The sequence below is a fragment of the Homo sapiens genome, chromosome 8 (genome assembly GCF_000001405.40).
Source record: "Homo sapiens chromosome 8, GRCh38.p14 Primary Assembly".
In the NCBI taxonomy this organism is placed as follows: Eukaryota; Metazoa; Chordata; class Mammalia; order Primates; family Hominidae; genus Homo; species Homo sapiens.
Window position 1 is genome coordinate 94,452,896 of NC_000008.11, and position 20,563 is coordinate 94,473,458.

The window sequence follows — 20,563 nt, forward strand, 5'->3', positions numbered from 1 at the left end:
AAATATCAAAAATATGAATATATACTTACATATAGATTGAGCATCACAATACATGATAAATGCACTCCTCACGCATTGCTGATGAGAGTATAAACCTGTACTAACCTCTGTAGAAGGCAATTTATCATTATCCATCAAAATGCTAAAGGCATATACCTTGTGATGAGTATCCTACTCCAAGGTATTTATGAACATAGTCTCCTATATGTATATATTATATAGATATTTATTGTAGCTCTATTTGTAATAACGAAAGATCCCAAACAAACTAAATATCCATTATTAAGACATTGGTTAAGTACATTTGGCACATCCACACAGTGGAATTAGTTTTAAAAATAAGATAGTTCTGGCCGGGCACAGCGGCTCACGTCTGTAATCCTAGCATTTTGGGAGGCTGAGGTGGGCGGATCACTTGAGGTCAGGAGTTCAAAACCAGCCTGGCCAATATGGTGAACCCCTGTCTCTACTAAAAATACAAAAAAATTAGCCAGGTGTGATGGCAGGTGCCGTAATCCCAGCTACTCAGGAGGCTGAGGCAGAAGAATCACTTGAACCCAGAGGCAGAGGTTGCAGTGAGCCGAGATCACGCCACTGCACTCCGGCCTGGGTGACAGAGCAAGACTCCGTCTCAAAAAAATAAATAAATAAATAAGGTAGTTCTAAATGCATTGACAAAAAGATTTCAGTGATATACTGTTGCAGTAAAAATGCAATGTATAGAACAAGGAAGCTAGTGAACAATTATTTAGATGGAGAAAAAAATATATATGTATACAAATATGTTTCTAGAATACTTCAAAAAAGACATACAAAAAACTAGTAACTGGTTACCTCTGGGGAAGGGAAGTAGACAGCTATGTAACAGGGAAGGGAGACTTTTTACTATATTCCCTTTTTGTTTGTTTGTTTGAGATGGAGTTTTGCTCTTTTTTGTCCAGGCTGGAGTGCAACGGCGCAATCTCGGCTCACTGCAACCTCTGCCTCCCGGGTTCAAGCAATTCTCTGGCCTCAGCCTCCCAAGTAGCTGGGATTACAGGTGTGCACCACCACACTCAGCTAATTTTGTATTTTTAGTAGAGACAGGGCTTCACCATGTTGGCCAGGCTGGTCTTGAACTCCTGACCTCAGGTCATCCACCCGCCTCAGCCTCCCAAAGTGCTGGGATTACAGACGTGAGCCACCATGCCCGGCCAACTTTTTACTATACTCTTAACATCTTCTGAGTTTTTTACCATGTGCGTGCATTACCTTTTAAAAAAAAAAAAAAGTCACAAGGGATTACATATTGCATGATTCTCATTACATCGCATATCCAGAATAGGTAAACCCATAGAGACAGAAAGCAAATTAGTGGTTGCCAGGGGCTGGAAAGAGAGGAGAGAAAGAGAGTGACTATTTAATTGATCTGGGGTTTCTTTTTAGAGAAAAATGCTCTGGAACTAGATAGAAGTGACAGTTGTACAACATTGTAAATATGCTAAATGCCACTTAATTGTATACTTTAAAATGATTAAAATGGTGAATTGTATGTTATGTATATTTTATCACAATTAAAAAACAAACATTTATGAATACAAATAAAACCAATAAAATATTTTAAAATATATTAGTTTCATGATAGTAATATTTTGCTAAGTTTAAACTGCTAATTACAATATAAATATGATACCAACAGATTTGACACACATCTTTTGTGTTTAACAAGCCTTTTATCCAATAGGGGATGAGATGGCTTAATTCATTCACCATCCCTATTTGAATATGGGAAACCTTCATTTGGCAAGAGTATACCACTTATACAGTTGTTTACTTGTTCTCATCTGCAGGCATAAAATCTTGTAATGGCACTCAATTATAAGGCAGCTATCCAAAAGATCTAGCACGAGCGTATACACTTTTATTCATATCATTTAAAAGAAAACACAAAAGTCTAACTTATCTGAGAATTTATAAACCCTTGAGAATATGCCCAACCATCTCCAAGGACCTAAGACCCACTTAAGAAACATTTAGCTAACTTCTCCAATGGGGAAAGATTTTTATCACTCCCCTGTTATACCTTTAATCTTCCACTCTTCACTACCTTTTTCCTCTCAGCCTACAACATACTACCTTAAAACAAAAACACAACAAAACTCTCTAGCCCCCTACCATTCCTCGAGATACTACTTCCTTCACTACCGAATTTATTTATTTACTTACAAACTTTATTTACATACTTACTCGCATTCACTTCCTCCACTGGCCTATTTCCATTCATCACATATCCATTACAGCATGACTTTTGTTCCAAAACACTTGTGAAATTATTCTCTCAAATATTACCAGAGCCTGCAAACTATAATGTTCCAATAGCCTCTTTGTGGCTACTTGACTTCCCTGAAGCACTCTGAAGCCAAAGACAGCCAAGAGACTCAACTAGAGAAAACTGTAAGTTTCTCAGGATCTCTTTGTTCAGTCACAAAACATTTTTAAATCTATATAGTTTGATTTAAAACCTTAACAAGAGAACATTCCTGCCTTTGCATGTCACAGTTTTGTGAAGGAGATTCAGGTAAACAGATAACAGAAGATGGCATAGTCTCCTCTCACAGTTCTTCAGAATGAGAAAGAATCAGAAAGAATAAAAAAACTTTCTCTTTTTCTAAAGAAACTATATAGCTCTGAATACCCAAGAGATCTGGGGCTTCCTGTATTTATTTCTGAGACTCCTGTAACAAACTGGGTGGCTTTAAACAACAGAATTTATTCTCCCACAGTCTGGAAACCAGAAGTCCAAAATCAAGGTGGCAGCAGGGCTATGCTCTCTCTGAAGGTTCTAAGGGAGAATCTTTCTTTGCTTCTTTCTAGCCCCTGGTGGTTTCCAGCAATCATGGGTGGTTATTCCAATCTCTGCTTCCACCATCACATGGTCTTTTTCCCTCTGTGTTTCTATCTCTTTCTTCATAAGGACACCAGTCATTAAATTTAGGGTCTATCTTAATCCAGTATGACTTTATCTTGATTACATCTGCAAAGACCCTATTTCCAAATAAGTTCACATTCATAGGTACCAAGGCTTAGGACTTTAACATATATCTTTAGGAGACACAATTGAAGCCACTACATTTCCCCTCTCCCAGAATTTGGTTTTTGAAAGCCCAGGGTCAAAAGTACTGAACTGGATTGTTCATGAAAAGAAACACCTGTGGAGCTTGGATCAAAAAAGATAGAAGTGGGTCCTATGGCCATTCTACCACAACCCCCAAAGAAATCACATTCCCTAAGCTTTGGGGGAAGTCATTAGTGGTAGACCTACATCTTCATTCTCACACAAAGGATATTATCTGTAAACACGCAGTGTTATGAAGAGACTCAAAGTGTCCCGTGAATTCAAGAAAGTGAAAATGTACTTATCAGGGCTCTTTCAGTTGAAAGAGAAACCAAACTGAAACTAGCTTAAGCAAAAATGACATTAACAATGAACTAAATATTATGAATTACTATTAATCCTGTTTGGTATAATAACAATGTGTGGTTATGCAGGAGAAAACATTTATTTCAAGAAATACACACTTAAGTGGCTAGAGGTAAAGTGGCATGATATATGCAACTTATTTTCAAAAGGTTGAGGGGAGTGCATCTACATAGAGAAAAAGAGAGAAAGCACACAAATGAGGCAAAATGTTAGTAACTGGTGAGTTTAGGATGTTAATTGCGTCATTCTTTCAACTCGAGAGTTTGTAGGCATATTTCAAAATAAAAAGGTGATGGGGAAAATGACATATGTTATTTAACTGGGACATACAGATTTGTAGTTCATTTCAAGGTGGATTAGATCAAGAATGAAAAAGATGTGAAAGGGTGAGTGGATACTAAACAGGTCTCTCATCTCTATGCTTTTCTATATGCTACATCCCTCTCCAACAATCCACCATAGAGAACAAAACATTTCTCACAAAGCTTTTTTCCCCAATTTAACCTCTTTCTGAACAAGAAACAGGAGGGTATCAGGAGGTTGGCACAGGTTCTCCAGTCCACTGAATGTACTAATCAGAGAAAGGATTACGGGATTAGGAGTTGAGTAAGTTAACTCCCTCTTTATTTTATCTTAACTCTTAACTCCCTTCTCAAATTTAGCAGGGAAGAGAATGAGAAACTATGGTAGAATACAAATAAAGCCCAAGATTAGTAACATAAAAGGTATTATATTCCAGAGTCTAAATGTCATTTTCTGATGAAGAAATTAGAAAAGAACTGGGCATACATGGATCATTTTCTACCTCGGGCTTAAAGTAGAAAAGAAAATCTGGGAAAACAGAATAGTCACCTAACAAGGATGGAAGCAAGGAAGGAGGAAGTGGGGAAAATAGGGAGGAAAGAAGGGAGAGCAAGTCAGTAAGATAGAGCAGAGCTAAACTGCCATGCCCAGAGCTGTTCCTAGGGATCTTCCTATACTGAATCAGCTCAAAAAGTCTTTCTCCACCTTGTTCTGACACCAGTCACAGCTTTTGAAAAGTTATGAGGAGCACATAAATGGCACCAAGATAATGGCCAGTTAGGTAAATACAGAATTCCTTTCTGTCCGGACAAGATACAAACCCATTCACAGGTAAAATTCATTAATCATCAGGAAGTCCAAGAACTTCCTTCAAAATGGTGCTTAGGGCACTTTGTTGATTTGCACTGGTATCATAAGGATGGCAGTTACTATTCTGTAGCCCAACAGATGGGGCCGGCTGGCTGAATCTGTTCATTCAACCAAAACATGAATAAAATGTAATTTGGAAAAATACAGTCTAATGATGGCTTTCACAAGACCAAATAAACATCTATGAACCATCTTAATTATTTTTTTAGTTACCTAACAAATAGTGTTCTCTTACATATACAAAAAGAACCATAATCATTATTTTAACTCAGTTCAACAATAGAGGGATGGAGCATTTGTTAAATGCTTGGTTTTCATGCAAGTATGTATCATAATAATTCAACTCTGATTTGAAGTACTCCAGACTCTAATGAATTAACAAGTAACTACTTTCAAGTTCAACTCTCCAATTTTAGTCCTATTAACATGCTTTTTAGAAAAAAAATGTATAAATCCTATCTTTAAACACAATCTTGGTTCTTGAGGAAAAGATCACATTTGACCAAGTTTATAATCAACAGTCTTAAGCATACATCTACTATAAAGCACTTTAATCACACAGTTATTAATCCAATCACTAAAGATAAATTATGACAACAAAAAACCTGAACTACCAACAATGTAGTGGTATTACATCAACAATTTTCTAATATAACATATTCATTCTTAAAACATCATTTAAAGAATACTGTAATACTATTGGTCAAGCATAAACCTTATCAATAAAAAGCAGTCTTACCTGTATGAGGTGGATCTAATGTTGCCAGTGTAGGTGCTTCAAAACAATATTTTCCACTGCAATTATCTCTGTTATTGATTTCTCTAGTACTTTCTTCACTAGGCAGATTTAAACTGCATATTCTAAGATCATTTTGTGACGGGAGAAAGGTGTTATTAATTGCAACACCCTAAAAGAAACAAATATATATTTAAATCAGAACTCAAACCTAATTTTCTGTATTTTCTGTATTTTTACATAAAAGATTCTAATTTAAAACAGGACATACTGGTTATATATATAAACTAGAACTAGATATTTAAAAATAAATTAATATCTGCTGGGCATGGTGGCTCATGCCTGTAATCCCAACACTTTGGGAGGCCGAGGCGGGTGAATTACTTGAGGTCAGGAGTTTGAGACCAGCCTGGCCAACATGGTGAAACACTGTCTCTACTAAAAATATAAAAATTAGCCTGGCGTGGTAGCAAGTGCCTGTTATCCCAGCTACTTGGGAGATTGAGGCAGGAGAATCGCTTGAACTCAGGAGGCGGAGGTTGCAGTGAGCCAAGATTGTACCACTGCATTCCAGCCTGGGCAACAGAGTGAGACTCCATCTAAAAAAAAAAAATTAACTAATTAATTAAAATCTAATTTTTATTGCTTGTTTTTAGAACTATTTTAAATTATGCTACTAAAACTGAATGATATGACAGAATGAAAAATTATGCTTATAATTATAGTGTATTTTAAACATATCAGAAGTTTTTAAACAAATCATAACATGCCATTCTCATAATAAAATGCTCTTTTTCTTGTTAAATTTCTCAATACTAAAATCAATACTTAAATATTTTTAGGTGAGATAATGGTAATCTCACTATGTTGGGTTTTTTTAACAAGCCCCCACCTCTTTTTTTAAGAGATGGGGTCTCGGTCTGGTACCCAGGCTGAAGAGTGCAGTGTCACGACCATAGCTCATTGCAGCCTTCAACTCCTGGGCCCAAGGGATCCTCCCACCTCAGCCTCCCTAGTAGCTGGAACTACAAGCATGTGCCACCATACCCAGCTAATGTTTTTTTTTCTGTAGAGATGGGGTCTCACTATGTTGCCCAGGCTGGTCTGAACTCCTGGCCTCAAGCAATCTTCCTGCCTAGGCCTCCCAAAGTGCTAAGATTACAGGGGTGAGCCACCATACCCGGCCTTAAAAAGCTCTTATATTTTAGGGACATATTCTAAAAATTTACAAATGAAAGCATATTCCTGGAATTTGCATCAAAATAAGAAGGGAGGGACTTGAGCTGGAGTGGAAAACTAAAGATGAAACAAGAGGCCGGGCGCAGTGGCTCACGCCTGTAATCCCAGCACTTTGGGAGGCCAAGGCAGGTGGATCACTTGAGGTCAGGAGTTCAAGACCAGCCTGGCCAACATGGTGAAACCCCGTCTCTACTGAAAAAACAAAAATTAGCCAGACACGGTGGTGCACGCCTGTAATCCCAGCTGCTCAGGAGGCTGAGGCAGGAGAATCGCTTGAACTCAGGAGGCAGAGGTTGCAGTGAGCCAAGAATGCACCAGTGTACTCCAGCCTGGGCGACAGAACAAGACCCTGTCTCAAAAAAATAAAAAATTAGGCCGGGCGCAGTGGCTCACACCTGTAATCCCAGCACTTTGGGAGGCCAAGGCAGGCAGATCACGAGGTCAGGAGATCGAGACCAACCTGGCTAACATGGTGAAACCCGGTCTCTACTAAAAATACAAAAAATAAGCTGGGCGTGGTGGCGGGTGCCTGTAGTCCCTGCTACTCTAGAGGCTGAGGCAGGAGAACGGCGTGAACCCAGGAGGCAGAGATTGCAGTGAGCCAAGATTGCGCCACTGCACTGCAGCCTGGGCAACAGAGCGAGACTCCGTCTCAAAAAAAAAAAGATGAAACGAGATCAGTCATGGCCAGGCATGGTGGCTCACACCTGTAATCCCAGCACTTTGGGAGGCCAAGGCAAGCAGAGTCCTTGAGCTCAGGAGTTTGAGACCAGCCTGGGCAACATAGTGAAACTCAGTCTCTACAAAAAATACAAAAATTAGCCAGGCACAGTGGTGTGTTCCAATAGTCCCAGATACTTTGAACACTGAGGTGGGAGGATGGCTTGAGGCCAGGAGGCCAAGGTTGCAGCAAGCTGAGATCACACCACTGTACTCCAGCCTGGGCAACAGAGCCAGACCCTGCCTCAAAAAATAAAAATAAAAAAAAGATCAGTCATACATTTTCAATTGTTGAAGTTAGGTAATATGGACAAGGAAGTTCATTATGTGCTATTTTCTCTTTTTTTTGTATATGTATGGGTTTTCTATTGCTGCTCTCTCAAATTACCAGAAATTTGGTGGCATTGAACAACACAAATTTATCATTTTATAGTTTCGCAAGTTAGAACTCAGACTTAGGTCTTACTGCATTAAAATCAAAGTTATCACCAGGGCTGAGTTCCTTTCTGGATGCTCCAGGAGAGAATATATTTCCTTGTCTTTTCAAAATTCTAGAAGCCAAACAAATTCTTTGGCTTAGCCCTCTTCCTCCATATTCAAAGTCAACTATGTTACATCTCTCTGACCCTGCTTCCCTAATCACCATCTCTTTCTCTGATCCTCTTCCCTCTCTCTCTTCCACTTCTAAGGACACTTATAATTATAATGGGCCCACTCAGATCATCCAGGGTAACCTCCCCATCTCAAGGTCCTTAACATTAATCACGTCAGCAAAGTCTCTTTTGCCATGTAAAGTAACACAGATTCCAGTGATTAGGACATGAACATGTTTAAAGGGCCATTTTTTCTGTCTACCACAGTAGTAAATGGTTGAATTTTTTTTAAATAGAAACTCACAATAATAGGCAAAGTTGTCATGTTATTATAAATACTCATCTTTTTTTTTTTTTTTTTTTTTTTTTTTTTGAGACGGAGTTTTGCTCTTGTGGCCCAGGCTGGAGTGCAATGGCGCAATCTCGGCTCACTGCAACCTCCGCCTCCCAGGTTCAAGCAATTCTCCTGCCTCAGCCTCCCGAGTAGCTGAGATTACAGGCATGCACCACCACACCCGGCTAATTTTGTATTTTTAGTAGAGACGGGGTTTCTCCATGTTGAGGCTGGTCTCAAACTCCTGACCTCAGGTGATCCGCCTGCCTCAGCCTCCCAAAGTGCTGGGATTACAGGCGTGAGCCACCACACCCGGCCATAAATACTCATCTTAATAAATTTCATGGTTAGTAAATAAATTTTCCAAAAAAAAACCTGATAAATTTTTTTTATATTTTTTATATCTGATCAGATATTAAAGTAAGTCAACTAATGAAGGTCACAAATTTTCTTTTTTGCAACATTTTATTTTCATATAATTTCAAATTCATGGTAACATTCCAAAAATAGTATTCCTATATACCTTTACCCATATTAACCATTGGTTTACATTTTCTTCCATTTCCCTCTCCTCCTTTGCTCTGTGTATGTGTGTACACACACACGTGAGAGTAAACTGCAGACGCTATGCTCCTTCGCCTCTAAATACTTCAAGGTGTGTTTCCAAAGACTCTCTTCCATAATCACAGTAAAATTATCAAAATTGATTATTTAACACTGGTATAATACCAGTATCTAATCCACAGTCTATATTCAAATTTGGTCACTTATCGCAATAACGTCTGTTATAGATTTTTCCCCAAATCAGGATCCAATCCTAGATCACACATTACATCTAGTCAGTATGTTCCTTTAGTTTCCTTCAATCTCTAACTTCATTCATCGTTTCTGGTCTTGAAATTTCAAAATTTCAAAATAAGGCCAGTTATTTTGCTGAATATCCCTCAATCTGGATTTGTCTGATGTTTCCCTATGATTAGTTTCAGATTGTGAATTTGGGGCAAGAATACAACAGTTCATCATATTAGGAGGCACATAATATCGGTTTGTTCCATTACCAGAGGTATTAACTTTGATCACTGATTAAGGTGGTGTCTGCCAAAGTATTTTTCCCTTTGTAATTTTTTTAAGTATGTTGTGAGGAGATACTTGAATATATTCAAATATCCTATTTCCTCATTGAACATTTACCCACTAGTTTTGGCATCCATTGAGACTCTCTAACACCATCATTACTTCTACTTCTATGCTTTAGCATTCCACTGTAAGGAAGAGTTTAATCTTCATTTATTTATTTATTCATTTATTTACATATATTAGTATAGATTCTGACTCCTGTATTATTCAATGGGCTATAATCCATTAGTATATTTCTTTTGATGTTCAATTTGTCCCAGATTTTGTATTTATCAGACCAATCAAGTAAACACCACTGAAGTCACTAAAGCAATACTTTCTCACTATAGGTTAATTCAATCTAAGATAAGAAATAGTTTAAAAACAAGAAGTTAAGAATGTAACAGACAAAGTAAAAAGACGGCAGAGTTGACTGCTAAGCCTAATACTTTTAGGCTTCTCATGTTACCTTGCTTAAAATTGCTGTATAATTTCAAAAATGCCCCACTTCAGTTTTAAAAAGTAAAATAACTATTTAATTTATTTATAGAATTAAAAGAAAAAAATAGTAAATCTGTGTTTTTGCCTAGAATTAGTCCTTAGACATTACATCAAAAAACAAATCTTGGCCAGGCATGGTGGCTCACACCTGTAATCCCAACATTTTGGGACACCAAGGCAGGCGGATAACCTGAGATCAGGAATTCATGACCAGCCTGGCCAACATGGTAAAACCCCAACTCTACTGAAAATACAAAAATTAGCTAGGCGTGGCGGCAGGCACCTTTAGTCCCAGCTACTCCAGAGGATAAGACAGGAGAATTGCTTGAACCCAGGAGGCAGAGGTTGCAGTGAGCCAGGATTGTGCCACTGTACTCCAGCATGGGTGACAGAGCAAGACTCCATCTCAAAAACAAATAAATAAATAAATAAATAAATAATAAATATTGGTTGGACACAGTGGCTCACTCTAGCCTGGGCAACAGAGCGAGACTTCACCTTAAAAAAAAAAAAAAAAGACAGTTCTCCAAAGAGATACACAAATGGGTAATAAGCACACATAAAAGTGCTCCATATCAGCTATCAGAGAAATGCAAAGCAAAACCACAATGAGGTACTACTTTACCCACTAGTATGGCCACAATCAAAAAGATAATAAGTGTTGGTAGGGATATGGAAAAATTAAAACCTTCATACATTGATGGTAAGAATGAAAATGGAGCAGTCAGCTTGGAAAAGAGTCTGTCAGTTCATTAAGAGGTTAAACATAGAATTATCATATGATCCAGCAATTCTACTCCTAGGAATACACTCAAGAGAAATGAAAACATGGCCAAGTATGGTGGCTCACATCTGTAATTCCAACACTTTGGGAGGCTGAGGAGAGGACTGCTTGAGCTCAGGACTTAGAGACCAGCCTGGGCAACATAGGCAGACCCCATCTCTATAAAAAATTTAAAAATTAGCCTATAAAATTTAAAATTTAAAAATCTCTAAAAAAATTTAAAAATGATGGCACATGCCTGTGGTCCCAGCTACTTAGGAGATGGAGGTGGGAGGATCACTTGAGCCTAGTAGGTGGAGGCTGCAGTGAGCCATGATGGTGCCATCATCAAGACCCTATCTCAAAAAAAAAAAAAAAAAAAAGAAAGAAAGAAAAAAGAGAGAAACGAAAACACATATCCACACAAAAATTTGTACACAAACGTTCATGAGTATTACTCATAATTGCTAAAAAGTGGAAACAACCCAAATGACCATTAACTAATGAATAGATATATAAATTGTGGTATATTAAAACAACAGATTATTCAGTGTGGTAGGCAGAATAACGGCTCCCAAAGATTTCCACACCCTAATCCCCAGAATCTGTGAATGTATTGTTATGTGGTAAAAAGGACTTTGCAGATGTGATTAAGGACCAGGACCTTGAAACGGAGAGATGATCCTGGATTACCCAGGTGGGCCTAACCTAATCAAATGAGTTCTAGCTGCAGAAAACCAAAGAGAAGGAAACATGAGAACTCAAACGTGCTTCCCTGGCTATGAAGACGGAAGAAGGGGACCATGAGCCAAGGAATGTGGTGACCTGTAGAAGCTGGAGAAAGCCAGGGAACAGATTTCCCCTAAAATCTCCAGAAATGAATATAGCCTTACCAACACCTTGATCTTAGATCTGTGTTGAACTTTTGACCTACAGAACTATAAGATAATTCATTTGTGTTGTTTTAAGCCATTAGATTTGTGGTAATTTGTTTCAGCAGCAAGAGAAAACTGATATTTCAGCAATAAGAAATAAATTCCTGATAAAAAGTTTCTTTTTGGTGTCATGAAAATGTTCTAAAATTGATTGTGGAGATGGCTGCACAATTCTGTGAATATAATAAAAACCACTGAGTTGTAGTAAGTAGACTGTATGGTATTTAAATTATATCTGTATTAGTTTGCATTGCTATAAAGGAATACCTGAGACAGGTAATTTATAAAGAAAAGAGGTTTATTTTGGCTCACAGTTCTGCAGCCTGTATAGGAAGCATGGTGCCAGCTTCTGTTTCTGATGAGAGCCTCCAGAAGCTTATAATTAGGGCAGAAGGTAAAGGGGGAAACTGCATCTCAATCACAAGAGGGAGAGCAAAAGAGGGAGGGGGGAGATGCCGCACTCTTTTTAAACAACCAGATATCATGTGGACTCAGAGCGAAAACTCACTCATTACCATGAAAACAGCACCAAGCCATTCATGAAGGATCCGCCCCTCATGACCCAAATATCTCCCATTAGGCCAACCTCAAACACTGGAGGTCACACTTCAACATGAGATTCTGAAGGGACAAATATCCAAACTCTATCAAACCTAAATAAAGCTGTATTTTAAAAAGGAAAGAAAGAAAGAAACCTTATTAAGAAAACAAAAGCCTATGTTTTCTCCTTACAGTGTGCCAGAATTTTTACATTGGTAAGTGCTAAACAATCTACTTGGGAAAGAAATATAGGATAAAACAAACACATACAGACCAAAAAAAGCAGTCAAAAATTAGAAGGTTTTTTCAGCAAAAAAAGACACCATTAAAAACCAGGCAAAGACCTTAAATAGACATTTTTCCAAAGATATACAAATGGCCAATAAGCACATGAAAAGATGCTCAGCATTGCTAGTCATTAAGGAAATACAAATCAGAACCACAGTGAAATACCACTTCACAACTACTGAGATGCCAATAATAAAAAAATTTTTTAAATGGAAAATAACAAGTGTTCCTGAGGATGTAGATACTACAACCATCACACATTCCTGATGAAGATGTAAAATGGTACAGCTATGAAAAACAGTTTGACGGTTCCTCAGAAAGCTAAACACAGAATTACCATAATACCCAGCAAATCCATTTCTAGTTATAATCCAAAAGAATTAAAACAGGAACACAAACAGAAACTTGGATGCCAATGTTCACAGCAGCATTATTCGCCATAGCAAAAAGGTGGAAACTGCCCAAGCATGCATCAAATAGATGAATGGATGGATAAACATAATGTGGTAAAACCATATAATGATTATTCAACCATACAAAAAAATTAAGTTCTGATACACACTACAACATGGATGAACCTTGAAAACATTATGCTAAGGGAAATAAGCCAGACACAAAAGGACAAATATTGTATGATTCCACTTCCATGAGGTACCTAGGGCAGTCAGATTTATAGAGACAAAAAGTAGAATCGTGGTTATCAGGAGCTGAGTGGAGAGAATGGGGAGTTAATGTTTAATGGGTACAGAGTTTCTGTTTGGGGTAATGAAAAAGTTTTGGAAACAGATTGTGGTGATGGTTGCACAACAGTGTGAAAGTCATTAATGCCACTTAATTGTACACTTAAAAATGGTAATGTGGCAAATTTTATGTTACATACGCTTAACCACAATAAAAAAGAAGAGGGAAAAAATTAATAGACTTTAATCCCTATAACATAAAAGGATCAGGGAATTGCAGAGTAGTAGGTAGTGTGAATTCTCCATTTTATATGCCTTCTTTATACTTTATATGCCTTTCATATATACTAACGCCTTTGATCTTAGACCTAAGACCAAAACAATCCTTTTTCTTAACAGTAAATGAGACACATTAAGACTGCTTCCAGTATTCACTTTTTTTTTTTTTGGGGGGGACGGAGTCTTGCTCTGTCACCCAGGCTGGAGTGCAGTGGCATGATCTCAGCTCACTATAACCTCCACCTCCCAGGTTCCAGCAATTCTCCTGCCTCAGTCTCCGGAGTAGCTGGGATTATAGGCGCGTGCCACCATGCCCGGCTAGTTTTTGTATTTTTAGTAGAGACGGAGTTTCACCATGTTAACCAGGCTGGTCTCAACTCCTGACCCCAGGTGATCTGCCCGTCTCGGCCTCCCAACGTGCTGGGATTACAGGCGTGAGCCACTGCACCCAGCCAGTATTCACTTTTTACAGATAAAAGTGAGAAAAAATGTTTGGAATAGTGATACAAATCATTATGTATTTTTTCCTCTTTAAATGACCTTAAAGAAGTTTTCACTTATTTATGTGGTAACTTTAAAAAGAACACTGATTAGAATCTCCACCCCTTCCCTCAAAGAGGTACTTACTTATCATTACCAAAAGTTTATTTTATAGACTCAAGTACATGTTATTCCATTGATTGATTGAATGAGACAGGGTCTTGCTGTGTTGCCCAGGCTGGATGGAGTGCAGTGGCACAATCACAGCTCACTGCAGCTTTGACCTCCCAGGCTCAAGTCATCCTCCCACCTCAGCCTCCCGAGTAGCTGATACTCCAGGTGCACACCACCACACCCCACTAAATTTTTATTTTTTGTAGAGACAGGGTCTCACTATGTTACCCAGGCAGGTCTTGACGTCCTTAGCTCAAGTGATCCTCCCGCCTCTGCCTCCCAAGGTGCTGGGATTATAGGCATGAGCCACTGTGCCCAGCCTGTTATTCCTTTTAAAAAAAAATTATGTAATCTTCATTTCCAAGGTTTTTAGAAGATGTTTTCAGAGATACTGAAAATTCCTACAGGCAGAAAATACTGTTAACTCTTTAAATGGCATTTTCTTAAACATACATGCTTCTCTATATTATCTATATCATGAGTCTTTTTTTGCCTTACCTCAAATAATTTTATATCTGGATTCAGTTTTGTAATCTCTTCATTCAGACCTGGATTACTTCTTCCTGGAGGTATAAATTTTGGTTTTTTGAAGGAATTCCCCTGCAACTGACTTGGTGCTGCAGATCGTCTCATATTCAGCAGTCGTGACCTGAAAAATACCCAAAACAGTTAACTATCCACGAATCTAATTACAATCACCCCCAAATATAAAAATAGCTCAAAACTACAACTAAGATGGAACAGAAACCCCTCTTATGGGCCTGCCTGGCCCCCCAAGCATAGAAACAAAAGGAAAATCTTCAGTTCCTTCAAAGGAAATTCCAGGCACTTAGCTAGCCCTGAAAAGTACATGAGCAATATGATTAGCAAGAAGGTAATAGCTTAAAATAATGGTGAGGGAAGTTAGATTGACAAAATGTTTGGTTCCCTCTAGAAACTAAAGGTAACATCTTAACATATGTCCTTGAGTTGTTTTTCAGAAATCCAGACCACCACCAAATGGAAAATACTGTCTACTGGCACACAGACCTCAGATTAGGGGAAACAGGACTGAACTCTAACTGCTATTATTCTTTGTTCTGAATTTCTTCTTCAGAGGCCTGGAGGAAGTCATACCCACAAGCCAGAGCTCAACATTCCTTTCTGCTGACCCCAAGTTTTTAGACAGAGCTTCACTTCCTTAACCAATCCCAAATCAGAGAATCTTTTAATACATCTATGACTCGCAAGCCCCCACTTCAAGATGTCTCACCTTTTTAGGCCAAATCAATGATGCATTGATTTATGACTTTGCCTGTAACCTCTGCCTCCCCATCTTTAAAAATAGTTACATGAAAGCCATCACAGAGTTTGGGTCTTAACCATTAGCTACCCATTTTTCCTCGCTTGGCACCCTGCAATAAACGCCTCACTTTCTCTTGCTGCAAATCCCAATGTCTGTGGAGAGCTTTGCTGTGCCAGGCAGGCCGTCTCAAGTTTGGTTTGGTAATACAACCATGACATATGTAAAAAGGTAAAAGGGGCCGGCGTGGTGGTTCATGCCTGTAATCCCTGTACTTTGAAAGGATGAGGCCGGAGGATCCCTTGAACCTAGGAGCTTCGTCTCTATTAAAAATTAAAATTAAGAAAAAAAAAAAGGCCGAGCACGGTGGCTCATGCCTGTAATCCCAGCACTTCAGGAGGCCGAGGCGGGCGGATCACGAGGTCAGGAGATCGAGACCATCCTGGCTAACCCAGTGAAACCACATCTCTACTAAAAAAAAATACCAAAAATTAGCCAGGAGTGGTGGCGGGCGCCTGTGGTCCCAGCTACTCTGGAAGCTGAGGCAGGAGAATGGCGTGAACCCGGGAGGCGGAGCTTGCAGTGAGCTCAGATCACGCCACTGCACTCCAGCTTGGGCGACAGCGAGACTCTGTCTCAAAAAAAAAAAGATAAGAGGAGCTTGGTGGTGCATGCCTGTAGTCTCAGCTACTCAGGAGGCTGAGGTGAGGGGGATCCCTTGAGGTCAGGAGTTCAAAACCAGTCTGGGCAACATAGCAGCAAGACTTCAACTGAAAAAACAAAAACAAAACATATGAGAATAAGCCTGAGAAAACAGGTTCAGGCTGGGCAAAGTGGCCCACATCTGTAATCCCAGCACTTTGGGAGGCCAAAGTGGGAGGATCACTTGAGCCCAAGAGAGCCCATCTCTTGTTTTTTTTTTTTTAATAAAAAAAAAGAAAAAGAAAATAAGTTCAATAGCTAGTAAGATTTTATTTTTCATCAAGGGCTATTGAAAAGAATTTAAGATTTAAACTGAACGGTGATACAGTTTGGCTGTGACCCCACCCAATCTCACCTTGAATTGTAATAATCCCCATGTCAAGGGCAGGGCCTATTCTCGTGGTAGTGACTAAGTCTCACGAGATCCGATGGTTTTATACATGGGAGTTCCCCTGCACAAACTCTCTTGCCTGCTCCCATGTAAGACGTGGCTTGCTTCTCCTTTGCCTTCCGGCATAAATGTGAGGCCTCCCCAGCCATGTGGAACTGTGAGTCCAATAAACCTCTTTCCTAATAAATTACCCAGTCTTGAGTATCTCTTTATTAGCAGTGTGAGAACAGACTAATACAAATGGTGTAAATTTAAGTATATGTCAATTTTGATAATACTATAAGCATGATATCTTCTTTAAAGCAATTTAAATAAAAATTTCAAAATGCAAGGAAATACAATTCACATACAAATATCAAACATGTTGCCTTTTTCCTATTCCACTAATCCATAAACCACATGAAGGCAGCAATCTCATGCTTGTTTTCTCCACCACTAATGACTATAATGTGTCTGGCAACAGTGACAGATACATTACCATCACTAACAAATATTTTGAATGAATGAAATCTGGCAATTTAAAAGGTATTTTTATAATTCTACTTGTTTTTACTATCCTACTTCATTTGAAAACAGTGGAATTTTTTAAAATATAAATCAAGAGACTAGAACCAGGTTTCCCAACTTTCACTCAATCTTATTTCCACTAGGACTGGATAGGGGAACAGATGGAAAACAAGGACATTACATACATACATCATGTTTCTGCAATGGATAGTAGCAAGCATTCCAATTCAAAGCAACACCACAAAACACTATTTAACATAAGCCATCAGCAAGGATGAACATGACTACCAACATTATCTGTTTCACCCAGAAATTCCAATTCTGGCAATTTAACCTAAGGAACTATCAGAGATAATACTAAGTAACTACGTATAAGAATAATCAGCTGGGCAGGACACAGTGGCTCGCACGCATGTAATCCCAGCACTTCAGGAGGCCGAGGCAGGTGGATCACCTGAGGTCGGGAGTTTGAGACCAGCCAGGCTAACATGGTGAAACCCCGTCTCTACTAAAAATATAAGAATTTGAGGCCAGGTGCAGTGGCTCACACCTGTAATCCCAGCACTTTGGGAGGCCAAGGTGAGTGGATCACCTGAGGTCAGTTCAAGACCAGCCTCATCAACATGGAGAAACCCTGTGTCTATTAAAAATACAAAATTAGCCAGGCGTGGTGGCGCATGCCTGTAATCCCAGCTATTCAGGAGGCTGAGGCAGGAGAATCACTTGAACCCGGGAGGCAGAGGTTGTGGTGAGCCGAGATAGCGCCACTGCACTCCAGCCTGGGAAACAAGAGCGAAACTTCGTCTAAAAAAAAAAAAAATTAGCCAAGTGTGGTGGTACACGCCTGTAATCCCAGCTACTCAGGAGGCTGAGGCATGAGAATCGCTTGAACCCAGGAGGCAGAGGTTGCAGTAAGCTGAGATCGCACCACTGCACTCCAGCCTGGGTGACAGAGCAACACTCTGTCTCAAAGAAAACAAAGAAAAAAAAAAAGAATAATGATGCTAGTATCAATTACAGTAGGGGGAAAAAGGGAAACAAATGTCTATAATGAAGTACAAGATAAATTATGGTACACCCACACAACAGAACACTCTCTTCATATACCACCAAAATCGAGTCAGTACTATTCCCCAAGCTAGCCATGTTCTCTTTTTCTCTAGGCTTTGAACAAACTTTCCCTTATATAATGTTGGGAATGCTTTTTCCCACTTTTCTTTGCCTAATTAATTCTACCTTATCATCTAGGAGTCTTAACCATGAGCCCTCTTCATCTCCTCCCAAAGACTGGACTGGAGACCTTCCTGTATATGCACTACCCAAGCACTTTTCACACTGCAATGAAATTTGCCCTATCATTCCCTCTGAGCTATTAACTCAGGCATGAAATCTTACGTACAATTCATCAGTATATCGCCAGTACCAAATACACAGAAGAGGTTCAGTATTTGTTATGTGAATGATACCATTAATGGGTGGCGGGGGGGGGCAGTACTTTAAAAAAATGTTTAATGACAAGAGAAATATGTTTTAATAAATCAAAGGAAAAATGGCCACAAAACATGTCCAGCCTCATTCTAATTTTTACAAAAGAAAAGAAAAATAAAAACAATAATGGGTGTATGTACATTTAAAAGACTAGAAAGCAAAGGAGCATGAGAGAACTTGTTGGAGGTGATAGAAATAATCTATATAAGATTGTAGTATGGTTACAGGAGTATATATACATCTGTATATGAAAACATCAAAATGTACACATCTAACTGCACACTGTAAATTATACTGCTATAAAGTAGATATAATATACATGTTATATATTAAAATACACAATCGTTTTTTAAAAACTAGAAAAATACATGCCACAACATTAACCCTAATTATTTCTAGGTCTGGTTAGAATACCAGTAATTTTTATTCTATTCTGAGTTATTTTCTGTATATTTCAAATTTTTTACAATGAAAATGTTACCTTTGTAATAGGGAAAAGTATCATTAATTAGATTTTTTTAAATTACCATATTTCATCAAATCTAAAATGCCATCAATTGTAAGATATACTCTTGATTGTTAGTCCATATAAAAGAAATTTTTAAAAGTAAATAAAAATTTTAAAAATAAAAATTTTTTAAATTGTAAGATGTACCATTATTTTATGTATCCAAGAAAAAAAGTGTAGCCAATTAAACCATGATACACTATCATTGATGGTTAGACATTTCCCAATTTCATCAATGTTAAAATAATGAAACATGTAAATATTTTATATATAACCAGCCTTTATATAGTTTGAGGAATGAGTAGGAGAGATCACTCTCTTCTGTTTCTTATTCAAGGACAAAATAGATCTCTATTAGTATAATCTTTAATCTTAAAGCAAATTATGAAACAGATGGTTTTTGACTGCTTTAGAAGCAGTATTTACCAATACCAGAAGTCAGTACAAATTCTGACCAAACAAGTCATGCCAAAATAACTTCATTAAACTAATTTCCTTTTTATAATGGGTAAGCAGAATACTACAGGCCTCTAAATATATAACTGACACAAGTTTGAAATTGATTAACGGTAACTGTCACAGGACGACATGGATGTTAGGCCTTGCACTTAGACTCAGTTACTTAATGGTCAAATGAAATAGAACAATAGAAGCTGAAATTTAAAACTAAAGATTTTAGTGACTATAGCTCAACTGAAATAAGATAATGAGCCTTCTTAAACTAATAAATTCTAGATAGCATTAATAAAAATATGATGTCCACATCATGAAATGTAATCAGTTCTGTTCTCTACATTAGTCAGACTCCCCTCTAATACTGTGAAAATTCTGACACTTTTTAAAAAGGAACACTTAAAAAATACAGTAGTTAGAAACATCAACAGTAGAAATGAAGGAAACCAGAGTGTAGTTCAGATTCTGCTATTTCAGGGATGCTTAACTTTGGGGAAGCTATTTAACTCTCTAGACACCAATTTTCTCATTTATAAAATAAAGAATGAACTAGATGCTAAAATTTCTTTCAACACTAAATGCGAAGAATTACTACCCTAAATCCTTCTACATCTAATACATGATTTCTGATTTTTCAATCCTCCTATTTTGTAAACTAATAAAAATGATAATGCAAGCATACAACCATCAGCACAGAGCAGTGGTTAAGAAAACAGACTGACTCTGGAGCCAGCCAGGCTGCCTGGCTAGAATCCCAACTCTGCTACTTACATATGACCTTGGGCATCCATCAAGCCATTTAATTTGTTGATACAAAGTAAAATGCAGAAATCAGTACATTTCCCCCCAAAAGACCATTGCACCCTTATAGCTTTTTAAACTGGTTCTGTATGTTCATATTGTCCTGTCCATAATAAATTAATTAATTAATTAGTGCTGTCTGAGCCCTTTCCCCAGGTCCTAGAAATAAAGCCATTTGGTAGCCCTGATGTGATGCTACAACTTCTATAACACCTATTAGTTTCAGTCCTTCCAAGTAAAATGGTAAGGCCAAGCTGACAACTGTAATACACCAGATAGCCACAAGTACTTGGCACTACACTGTGGTAAATAAGAACACAACTTTGAAAGCAAATGCCTGAATATAAATGTGGACTGACACTTTCTAATGGTCTTGCACAGTTTACTTTGGCTCCATGTGTCTCAGTTTCCTCATCTTTA

General features: G+C 38.2%; 1 protein-coding gene across 2 annotated transcripts in view, besides 3 other annotated features; it reads right to left on the minus strand.

Annotated features, from left to right (window-relative positions):
- Positions 1-20,563, minus strand: part of RAD54B (RAD54 homolog B) — a 103,156-nt gene that overhangs the window by 80,936 nt on the left and 1,657 nt on the right. For both annotated transcript variants that reach the window (NM_012415.3, NM_001205262.3), the window contains exons 2-3: positions 14,510-14,660; positions 5,373-5,541 (exon numbers count right to left, since the gene is read on the minus strand). In NM_012415.3, the coding sequence (NP_036547.1) occupies positions 5,373-5,541; positions 14,510-14,644 (304 nt within the window). In that variant the 5' untranslated portion in view covers positions 14,645-14,660. The remainder of the gene's footprint in view (positions 1-5,372; positions 5,542-14,509; positions 14,661-20,563) is intronic.
- Positions 15,135-15,761: an enhancer, noted in NCBI's record as "H3K27ac hESC enhancer chr8:95480258-95480884 (GRCh37/hg19 assembly coordinates)". NCBI's record gives its function as "activates a minimal SCP1, AML or CMV promoter by ChIP-STARR-seq in naive H9 embryonic stem cells {active_cell/tissue: H9 hESC(naive)}" and the evidence as "EXISTENCE:reporter gene assay evidence [ECO:0000049][PMID:30033119]".
- Positions 15,762-16,387: an enhancer, noted in NCBI's record as "H3K27ac hESC enhancer chr8:95480885-95481510 (GRCh37/hg19 assembly coordinates)". NCBI's record gives its function as "activates a minimal SCP1, AML or CMV promoter by ChIP-STARR-seq in naive H9 embryonic stem cells {active_cell/tissue: H9 hESC(naive)}" and the evidence as "EXISTENCE:reporter gene assay evidence [ECO:0000049][PMID:30033119]".
- Positions 20,435-20,484: a silencer, noted in NCBI's record as "silent region_19367". NCBI's record gives its function as "represses an Ori minimal core promoter by ATAC-STARR-seq in GM12878 lymphoblastoid cells {active_cell/tissue: GM12878}" and the evidence as "EXISTENCE:reporter gene assay evidence [ECO:0000049][PMID:35858748]".